Raw genomic sequence first — 11,507 nt, 5'->3', positions numbered from 1 at the left:
GTAGTGAACAAAAGTACTGGTCCTGAAGTCAGAAACACCTGATTCATGTTCCAGGTCTGCCATCATCGTCGCTGTGTAAACCTGGGAGTTAGTCTTTCAGCAGAATAATGCCCTGTAGCTTTCCAGAAACTCTGCACACAGTTTTGCAGATTTGTTTTTGTTGTTGTTTTTTTCTTGTTTGTGTTTTTTTTAAGACGAAGTCTCACTCTGTTGCCCAGGCTGGAGTGCAGTGGCATGATCTCAGCTCACTGCAACCTCTGCCTCCAGGATTTAAGTGATTCTCCCACCTCAGCCTCTGAGTAGCTGAGATTACAGGTATGCATCACCACGCCCACCTAATTATTGTATTTTTAGTAGAGACATGGTTTCACCATGTGGGCCAGGCTGGTCTCAACTCCTGGCCTCAAGTGATCCGCTTGCCTCAGCCTCCCAAAGTGTTGGGATTACAGATGTGAGCGACAGCGCCCGGCCCCTTTCCATTTTTCATTTTGTCTCCTAATGTATTTCCACCAAATGCATTGTGTAGATTATGCTTTTTGGCTCTATCTCCAATTCAGGTCCAATACCAGCACCTGGACTTGCTTCTGGATATATCTTTCTGCTGCCCGGGTGCTGACTTTTGGCTGTCTTTCCCATCTGTCATCCTACAGGAATCCACCAGCAGATACAGCCTCTCCAAATGAGCTCCACAGTGCTGCTTCCATTGTACAGTTTTGCCCCCACACTCATATTTATGCTTGTCCCCAGTGTAGCCAGCATCTCAGAGACCCCCATTGTAGCCAGCATCCCATAGAGAGAGCTCAGCATTCAATGAGCGCTGGAAGAGGCTGCCAGAAGCTGATAAGGAGACGTAACAGATTGTGAGTAAAAATGGGGAAGGAAACAGTAAAAGACAGGCAAAGTCAGTTGGTGGTCATGGAGAACAAACGGCAAGGAGATCAAAAGGAAATAGCCTTGCACTTTAACTCCTAGTCAGCATGAATTTTTAAAAAGGGAAGCTTTACGTGAACTTAATCTAGAGTCTAGACATTAACTGTAAAGAAATGTTTCCACCAAAAAAAGGAGGGTATTGAATGAGAACTTGTATTTTTATTTTTTGTGGTAGAATTCTTTTTGGGGTGGCAGGGGTTAGGAGCGGGGGCAAATGAGAGGCAGTCTCTGTTCACGCAAGGAGGGGTGTCAGCCCTTACAGACCCTCCGATTGACCTCACCAGAGTTGCCAGATGAACCAAGGCATGCTTTGTTTCTGGACTTAATCTTTTTCATATTAAGAGGTTTACATCATCCAAAGTCATCCATGATGTAGTTGATGTGAACAGAAGCCATTTCCTACTAGTAAGAAGAGAGTACTTCAGTCCCTGGTTGAAATTGGCTAAAGGGTGATGTGTGCATTCTGCTCCCCCTTCAGACAACTGGGAGGGAGCTGGAATCAGGAAGCCCCCTAACAATTATGGGCATTGTATTACACAACCATAAATATGCACAGCCATTGAGCTGTTTTTGCTCTGGCACTAATGATCTTGAATTGTTCACAGCTACTTTCTCTCCTGATGAAACTTTGAGGTAGTCAGTAACTTGGCTAGGCAGTCTTTCTAAGCTGGCTGGATGACACATTCACCTGAGTAAAAACTCCAACACATTCTTCTGGACTTCTAATTCACATAAGAAAGGCACAACACATCCAAGAATGAAGGAGTTGTCAGGAATTAAAAGACAGCAGCAACTCTCACATCCTGAATTAAGATGAATGTGTTTTTTCCTTCAAATGTGTGTGTATGAGTGTGTGTGTGCACATATGTGTCAGTGCAAAGTCCAGCTGTAACACAGAGCCCTGACCTTATGACTAGTTGTTTTACATGTTGGAGGTCAAAGGGGAGGTAAAAGATCAAAATATAAGATGGAATTGGGCCAGGTGCAGTGGCTCACACCTGTAATCCCAGCACTTTGGGAGGCCGAGGCTGGTGGATCACTTGAGGTCAGGAGTTTGAGACCAACCGGGCCAACATGGTGAAACCCTGTCTCTACTAAAAATACAAAAATTAGCCAGGCGTGGTGGTGGAGGCTGCAGTCCCAGCTACTCAGGAGGCTGAGGTGGGAGAATAGCTTGAATCCCGGAGGCAGAGATTGCAGTGAGCTGAGATCACACCACTGCACTCCAGCCACTCCAGCCTGGGTGACAGAAAAACATTGTCTAAAAAAAAAAAAAAAAAAGTTTAAGGTGGAATTGATGAAGCATTGTGAGAGGTATTAGAAAGTGATTACATGGGACTATGTACACAAAGTAAATAATATACTTCATAATGTACCGTGAACCCAGAACATCTCAGACAGGTCTCAGTTAATTTAGAAAGCTTATTTTGCCAAGGTTGAGGACACATCCATGACACAGCCTCAGGAAGTCCTGACGACATGTGCCCAAGATGGTTGGGGCACAGCTTGATTTTATATATTTTAGGGAGACATGAGACCTCAATCAATATATGTAAGAAGTACATTGGTTTGGTCTGGAAAGGTGGAACAACTTGAAGCAAGGGCAGGAAGACTCCAAGCGGGAGGGAGCATCCAGGCCACAGATAGGTGAGACACAAATGGTTATATCATCTTGAGTTTCTGATTAGCCTTTCCAAAGGAGGAAATCAGATATGCATCTATCTCAGTGAGCAAGGGGTGACTTTGAATAGAATGGGAGGCAGGTTTGCCCTAAGCAGTTTCCAGCTTGAGTTTTCCTTAGTGATTTGGAGGGCCCAAGATATCTTCCTTTCACAGCTCAGAAAACACTTAGCATGTGCGTGACACATCATAGATGTTCAATAACTATTGATATTGTCAGTGAGAAACTTTCTAGAGTCTGGAATCCTGAGGATTTGGCTTGATTCATTTTATGGTGGTTCGGTGACCTCAGATCTTGTAAAAAAAATTAAAAAGGTCTCTGCCTCTCCTCCATCCTTGGGGTAAACCCATACTTTATTCTCTCTGAACTCTAAGAAAGACACCAGGTTAAAGGTCTCCTGTCCTCCACCAGATGTCAGTCCGGCCCTATGGGTGTCTTAAGAAGGACCTAGGGAAAGAGAAGATACAAGCTCGCTTCCAGGAATGAATGAAAAGAGAGTAGAATGTCTCTTACAGGCCATCTGAGAAAGGAGGCAAGAAACAGACTTCAGCAAGACTTCAATTCTAGGCCCACTTACATTTCAGGAAGGGCAAGGGATATTTACAAATTTGCAGAAATGTTTACAAACATATACTTTCATTAACAAATGCTCATCAAGAGGCTTTGTGCTGACCGTTTTAGGCCCTGGGCATGTAAGAATTCATTGATGTAGTTCCAATACTCTAGAGCTCCACGACTTGCCAGGTTACTTTTTGGTTGCCCACCTGTGGTGTTGCAATTTAATATTTACCATAGCAAAGGTCTCCAGCAAATCAAAGAGTCAATCATCGTGTTGAATGAAATGAAACAAAATACATGGATAAAAACAAAGGGTCTGGGTGTTGGCTTCCAGAATAAAACCTACAAAGGAATCTGAAAAATAAGCTACTACACTCCCAGTTTGGGAGCAAGGAAAACCCAGCAATGAACCAAATGATAGGCAGTGATGTTGAGAAGAAAGAGGAAAGCAGGTGCAATCACCAATGCCTGCAGAAGAAAAGCAAGGATGTAATGGCAACCACCAAGTTACAGGAATGAGCCCTAGATCCCTGCTGCTCAGGAGGGGGCTGGGTGTGGTCTCCAACAGCAACACCGAGAAAGTGAGGTCCAGGTGCAGTGGCTCATGCCTGTAATCCCAGCACTTTGGGAGGCTGAGGCAGGGAGATCACTTGAGGTCAGGAGTTCAAGACCAGTCTGACCAACCTGCTGAAACCCTATCTCTACTGAAAATACAAAAAGTAGTTGGGTGTGGTGGTGCATGCCTGTAATCCCAGCTATTCAGGAGGCTGAGGCAGGAGAATCACTTGAACCTGGGAGGTGGAGGTTGCGGTGAGCTGAGATTGTGCCACTGCACTCCAGCCTGGGTGACAGAGCGAGACTCTGTCTCAAAAACAACAACAAAAGAAAAAGAAAGTGGGGTGCTCCCAAAGAACAAGCTCTTGCTCTAGATTGTCTTCTTCCAGCATGTGCATGAGTGACCTTGTGCTTCTGGGCAAACTGGATGGTCCTAGGAGGCAGATGCCCTCAGTAGTCAGTGACTGGGTTCCAAGCCTGGCCCCATGGCTTGTCCAGTACATGACCTTGTACCACTGACTTAACCTTCCTAGAGAGCTGAGTTCCTTGCCTATAAAAAGAGGATTTTGGCAGGGCACAGTGGCTCACGCCTGTAATCCCAGCACTTTGGGAGGCCGAGGCTGGTGGATCACTTGAGGTCAGGAGTTTGAGACCAACCTGGCCAACATGGTGAAACCCCATCTCTACTAAAAATACAAAAAATTAGCTGGGCGTGGTGGTGAGTGCCTGTAGTCTCAGCTACCAGGAGGCTGAGGCAGGACAATGGCGTGCACCCAGGAGGCGGAGCTTGCAGTGAGCCGAGATCGCGCCACTGCACTCCAGCCTCAGTCTCAAAAAAAAAAAAAAAAAAGAGGATTTTATTAGAACCTACCCCATGGACTTGTTGTGAGGATTAAATGAGACTATCTGTAGAAAACATTTAGTAGAGGAGCTGTCATATATTTGGTGTGCAATGAATATTAAGTATCAGTATGAGTTATTTCAAAGACTTTCTGAGTTCCTAAGGACATAGCAAAACAGCACACTTACTGATTAAAAAATGGTCACTTACTGATCAAAAAAAGTTCTATGATTTCATATTTTTGTTTCCATTTATGTAATAAGTTGGGAAGTGAGCACCTACTATGTGCAGGAAAATATATAGGAAACAAACAAACAAAAATAATAAGTTGGGAGGGTATGAAGTACTGATGAGAAGATGGAAAGCAAAGAAGGTGGATGGGTAAGTAGGGAATTGAATGAGTGGATTGTCCTGTGCTTGCAATAAAAAATAATACATACTTTAATGGCATGAGATGGTATACATGAAGCATGAAAACACTAGAAAGTTTTTAACATCTTGTGTAGTCCAGGATGGCCAAGAGAAAAATCTGAAAAAACAGGGGTTCTTTCTCTAACACAGACAGGCTGGTCTGACATTTGGTGAGTCCCATCTTCTTTAGAGCTTCTCACACACTCATTTTCTGCTGCTACATACCAGACCTGGGAGACTCTCTGCTCAATAATTAACTAGTCTTGATATTTCCATGTCACACCATCCATGGGTTTTTTGGGTTCAGGAGTAGGGGCTAGTATTCTGCTTCCTTACCTTTCACAGCTGCAGAAATATCCAAATCTTTTAAAACCTGGGCTCACACTTACCCACACATTTTCAAAATTGAGTTAACAGGCCAATTGCGGTGGCTCACGCCTGTAATCCCAGCACTTTGGGACGCCAAGGTGGGTGGATCACTTGAGCCCAGGAGTTTGAGACTAGCCTGGCCAACATGGTGAAACCCTGTCCCTACTAAAAATACAAAAATTAACCAGGCATAGTGGCACGTGCCTGTAATCCCAGCTACTCGGGAGGCTGAGGCAAGAGAATTGCTTGAACCTGGGAGGCAGAGGTTGCAGTGAGCTGAGACCACGCCACTGCACTCCAGCCTGGGCAACAGAGGGAGACTCAGTCTCAAAAAACAAACAAACAACAACAACAACAACAACAAACATTGAGGTAACAGAGCATACATCTTCCCTCTCTCTTTCTTCCATCCTCTGGGATTGAATCTCAAGAAGTGTCAATGGCCACCTATATTAAGTTTCAATTATGAATTGGCCTCTGTGGACCCAGTCATCTCAGACTTCAAGAAATTTAGTATTTCACCCCAAGGGAGAAAAGCACATTTTAGAATAAGATAGGGAGTCCCAAGAGGCAAAGAGAAAAATTCACATAAGCAGAATGACATGCAAAAGAAAAAGAGAGTTGTCAGGTCCTGGAACTAAGAAAATAGACACTTCAGCCAAGTTCTTTACAGAGCACTCCTTTATTTTGCTCAGTGCATTCCATGACAGCAGCCTGTGCTTCCATCTCTGACCGCAGAAAGCTTGTGCTAACAGAAGCACATGGGGGTGGTGTTGCTTACATAATTCTGGCATGAATCTCTAAAACCTGTACAGACTTAGGAGGCTGCCCTCAAAAGACAAATAATGTCTTAATTAAGGTGTGTTCAGGAAAAGAACCTCCTTTGTCATCAAAACTAAATCTCCAATATATCCTGAGAAAGAGTGTTTGCTGTATAAAATACTCAGTACATATATGTTGATTACTTTGATTGCTTTTCTAACAGGCTGTAAAACTGCGGAGAGTCTGATAAGGTAGTAAGTAGATAATATTAAGCAGTGTTTTAAAATTATTCTGTATGAAATTTTAAGTTTTAAAGATTGGGAAGTTATTTACTTATAACTTTTAGTTTTAAAAGCTAGGTAGCTGAATAAGGATCCAGTGCAAAATTATTTTTGCTTTCTCCCAATTTACAGCCAGAAATCCAGGCTGGAGTGCAATGGCGGATCTCCGCTCACCGCATCCTCCGCCTCCCGTGTTCAAGCGATTCTCCTGCCTCAGCCCCCCGAGTAGCTTGGATTACAGGCATGCGCCACTACCCCCGGCTAATTTTGTATTTTTAGTAGAGATGGGGTTTCTCCATGTTGGTTAGGCTGGTCTTGAACTCCCGACCTCAGGTAATCCACCCGCCTTGGCCTCCCAAAGTGCTGGAATTACAAGTGTGAGCCACCGCGCCCGGCCAGCAAAGCTACATTTTATACCAACCCGTTAATTTCTTTCTCAGTACCTGAGGAATATAGGGAAAGCAACAGAATGGGTGATTTCCTTTACCGTACTCAATTGAATATAGAGTTTATCATATGTATTTTTCTAATACTTGTATTATTGTCTTATGACAATTAAAACAACTAACATGCATATTGCCAGTGTATTAGTCCATTCTCACACCACTATAAAGATACTAACCGAGACTGGGTAATTTATAAAGGAAAGAAGTTTAATTGACTCACAGTTCAGCATGACTGGGGAGGCCTCAGGAAACTTAAAATCATGGCCGATGGGGAAACAGTCACCCTGTTCATAAGGCGGCAGGAGGGAGAAGAGAAAGCAAAGGGGGAAGAGCGCCTTATAAAGCCGTCAGATCTCATGAAAACTCACTCGCTATCGCGAGAACAGCATGGGGGAAACCACTCCCATGATCCAATCACCTCCCTCTTTTGAAATGTGGGGATTAGAAATCCAGATGAGATTTGAGTGGGGACACAGAGACAAACTATATCACACTTTTATTATTGTCTTATGATAATTAGAACAGCTAAAATGCATATTGCTGGTGAAGATATAAACGTATAGACAATGTAATGTTCTTGTGCATTAGTGTGGGCCTGCCAAGATGACAGGTAATTAACATAATATAGTATTAATAATGATAACAATACCTATAGTTAATTTAGGAGCACCTACTAGGTGCCAGATACTGTACTAAAGCTTTACATGTATTCATTCATTAGCCTTAATAAGAGATTACTACAATACTTCACATGAGATTATTATCCCACTTAAAAATGAGAAAACTAAGGTGTAGAAGATGGGCTGAAGAAAAGCATTGGGCTGAGAATTTCTGAGCATGAATTTTAGTCCCAGCTACACATTAGTTGGTGTGAGTTTTGGGGCAAATCACTTCTCTAGAGTGCATTTTCTCTTTTGTTTAGTAGGTACGAAAACAAGAGAAACATTCAATTATTGATTAGGTATTATGGGTCAGGCACAGGGATAAGCATTTTACCTGCATCATCTAATTTAACCCTCACAGTAGTCAAATAGAGTAGGTACTGTTATCCCCCTTTTACAGATAAGGAAACTGATGCCTGGAGAGACTGAGTAACTGGATGTGCTCCTGAGTGTTACAGCAGGAATCTAAACCTGGACTTCATTTATTTATTCTTGTTTTTGAGACGCAGTCTCGCTCTGTCGCCCAGGCTGGAGTGCGGTGGCGCAATCTCAGCTCACAGCAACCTCCACTTCCTGGGTTCAAGCGATTCTTCTGCTTCTGCCTCCTGAATAGCTGAGATTACAGGTGCCCGCCACTACTCCTGGCTAATTTTTGTATTTTGTTGTTGTTGTTTGTTTTTGTTTTTTTGAGACAGAATCACTCTGTCACCCTGGCTGGAGTGCAGTGGCATGATCTCAGCTTACTGCAACCTCCACCTCCCGGGTTCAAGTGATTCTCTTGCCTTAGCCTCCCGAGTAGCTGGGATTACAGGTGCCTGCCACTACACCCAGCTAATTTTTTTGTATTTTTAGTAGAGACGGGGTTTCACCATGTTGGCCAGTCTGGTTTCGAACTCCTGACCACGTGATTTCCCCACCTTGGCCTCCCAAAGTTCTTGGATTACAGGTGTTAGCCACCATGCCTGGCCTAATTTTTGTATTTTTAGTAGAGATGGAGTTTCATCTCTACTATGTTGGCCAGGCTGGTTTAGAATTCCTGACCTCAGGTGATCTGCCCGCCTCGGCCTCCCAAAGTGCTGGGATTACAGGTGTGAGCCACTGCGCCCGGCCTAAACCTGGACTTTATGTCCCCAGAGCCCACACTCTTAACCACTATGATCTTTACAATCTTGGTTCCTTTAGACTTCCTGTTTTCTCTGCAACGCTTTTCTTCCAGATTTCTCTAGGGCTGGCTCATTCCCATACTTTAGGCATTAACTCAAACCATCAGGTTTGCAGAGGCTTTTGCTCAGGGCTGTTGCACTCCATAACTCAGAAAGTGCTGTTCTTATAGATTGTAATGTTAATGGTGCCTCACTGGAATTGTAGACCCGGAAGCCCCGTTTTTCTTTCACCTCTCGAAACCTGGTCATTCTCTATCACTCATTCAGTTTTATTTACTCCTTAGCACTTACCCCTATCTAAAATTAACTATTTCATTTATATAACTTACTTATTGTCTGTCTCCCCAAAGAATATGCAAGCTTCATAAACAAAGGGAGAAAGGGATCTGTCTTACTTACTGCTGTTGGCCAAATATTAAGTGACTGGCCATAGTAGGCACTTAATAAATCATTTGTTGCATGTTCCTGAATATGTCATACCAATTCCTAATAATCCTGGCCTCACTCAAGTCACAGAATTGTAAGGTAAAAGTTTCAAGACATCCTGGGTATTATAAAGACAGTGATGTAGTAAGTTAGGATGGCAAACTACTTCTTAGGGTTTCTGTGCTTTAAAGTTTACTAGCTTTGCAGCAATGTAGAATCCTTAGTATCAATGACAAAATAAACACTCATTTGATCAAAATTAAGAAGTTTCAAACGTCAAGTGTTGGAGAAGATATTGATTACTATACATCTCCCCTGACCCCCGCTTTTTTATTTTTTTAGACAGAGTGTCGCTCTGTCGCCCAGGCTGGAATGCAGTCGTAGGATCTCAGCTCACTGCAACCTCTGCCTCCTGTGTTCAAGTAATTCTCTCTCATCAGCCTCCCGCATAGCTGGGACTACAGGCATGCACCACCATGCCCGGCTAATTTTTGTATTTTTAATAGAGATGGAGTTTCACCATGTTGTCCAGACTGGTCTCGAACTCCTGACTTCAAGTGATCCACCTGCCACGGCCTCCCAAAGTGCTGGGATTACAGGCATGAGCCACCGCACCCGGCATATGCATCACTTTTACATTTTACTTCAACCAATTTGGAGGCTAGTTAGATGCGACTTTGTAAAGTTGAGCATTCACCTTTCTTATGACTCAGCAATTTTTCTCCTAAGTGGATTCCTAAGGGAAACTCCTTCACTTGGACCCCCAGGAGATGCTATGAGAATGTTCACAGTAACCCCACTTATGAAAACAAAAATGGAAACCACCCAAAAGCCCACAGACAAGAAAATAGATAAATAATTGGTGGTCTGGAAATTTATGAAGCTGTGATAAATGAATGAATCACAACTATACACAAACATTTGAAAGAAACTTAATAATATTAATACTGGATGAAAACAACCAAGTCCTAGAAGATTATATAAAACTTGGTGCTGTTTTAATGAAGTTCATTTTTTTAAAAACATAAACAACCCTTAAGAACAAAAAAAAGCAAGAAAATTATAAACTCAATGTTCATCGTTGTGTTTTCCTTGGATAAGAAAAAGTGGCTGGGAAAAAGAATATAGGTAAATGTGAATTATTATCTGTATTCTGGTGCTTGGGTTGGATGGAGGTTTCTAGCATTAAGCCACCTGTTTTAACACGATGATTTTTTATTTACTCCTATATGTGGAGACTTCCAGGATTCAGGCTCAAAGGTGACTCTCAAAGGATTATCTGGGTCCAAGGGCATGTCTACTCATTTTTGTATTTATAGTACCTATATACAATGTTCAGCAAAACCCAAGTCCTCAGTAATGTTTCCTGAATGAAAGAATGAATAAGTGAATAAATTACAGAAAATTCAAAAATATTTTTGGTTATTATTGAGTGTAGTCTGAATAACCTCTCACCCAATACTTTACAGTAACCCATACACACATGAAATTATGTATTGATTTCCTAATTCATTGGGAAAAAAATTAACATTCTCCCAGAGTAGTAAACAATCACATAGTATTTTTCCACATAAAATATTCTATTACACCCATCAATACTGACCTAGGTAGGGAGAAAATAATTCTGAATCCAGCAGAGTACCAAAAAAGCTTTTTAATGCACTATTTGTTTTCCAGGCAAAAGATCTTCAGAAAATATCCGTCATTTAGTAGACTTACAAATGGCACTTTTGGCTACATAGGAGAATCAGATATGAGACCCACGTGTTTTTTCTGATAAGCTAGTAGTAGGTCAGCTTTATAATACAACCCTTTCTTAGAATAAAAAATGGCTAATTTGTTTTAAAAGACAGGAAAAGCTGAAACCCTAAAGTCATTGTTTTAAAAAATGTGGGGCCAGGCACAGTGGCTCACACCTGTAATCCCAGCACTTTGGGAGGCCGAGGCGGGCAGATCACGAAGTCAAGAGATCGAGACCATCCTGGCCAACATGGTGAAACCCTGTCTCTACTAAAAATACAAAAAATTAGCTGGGCGTGGTGGTGCGTGCCTGTAGTCCCAGCTACTCAAGAGGTTCAGGCAGGAGAATCACTTGAACCTGGGAGGCGGAGGTTGCAGTGAGCCGAGATTGCGCCACTACACTCCAGCCTGGTGACAGAGCAAGACTCTGTCTCAAAAAAAAAAAAAAAAAAAGTAACATTTATTTCATGCTATACAGCTATGTGTTTTCATGCAATAATTTTAAGTATTATGGTATACATTTTCATAAGAGGAGCAAATAAATCCCAATATAATTTTAAAATAAAGATATATATTAAGTATCTTTAATATTTTTAATGCATTTGACAATACCATATGCTGTTTTTGATGACAAATTTCATTTTGGTACATGGCAGATTTGTCCTTTTGGTACTGAACTGAA

The sequence above is a fragment of the Homo sapiens genome, chromosome 8 (assembly GCF_000001405.40).
Source record: "Homo sapiens chromosome 8, GRCh38.p14 Primary Assembly".
In the NCBI taxonomy this organism is placed as follows: Eukaryota; Metazoa; Chordata; class Mammalia; order Primates; family Hominidae; genus Homo; species Homo sapiens.
This window is presented reverse-complemented; position numbering follows the sequence as displayed.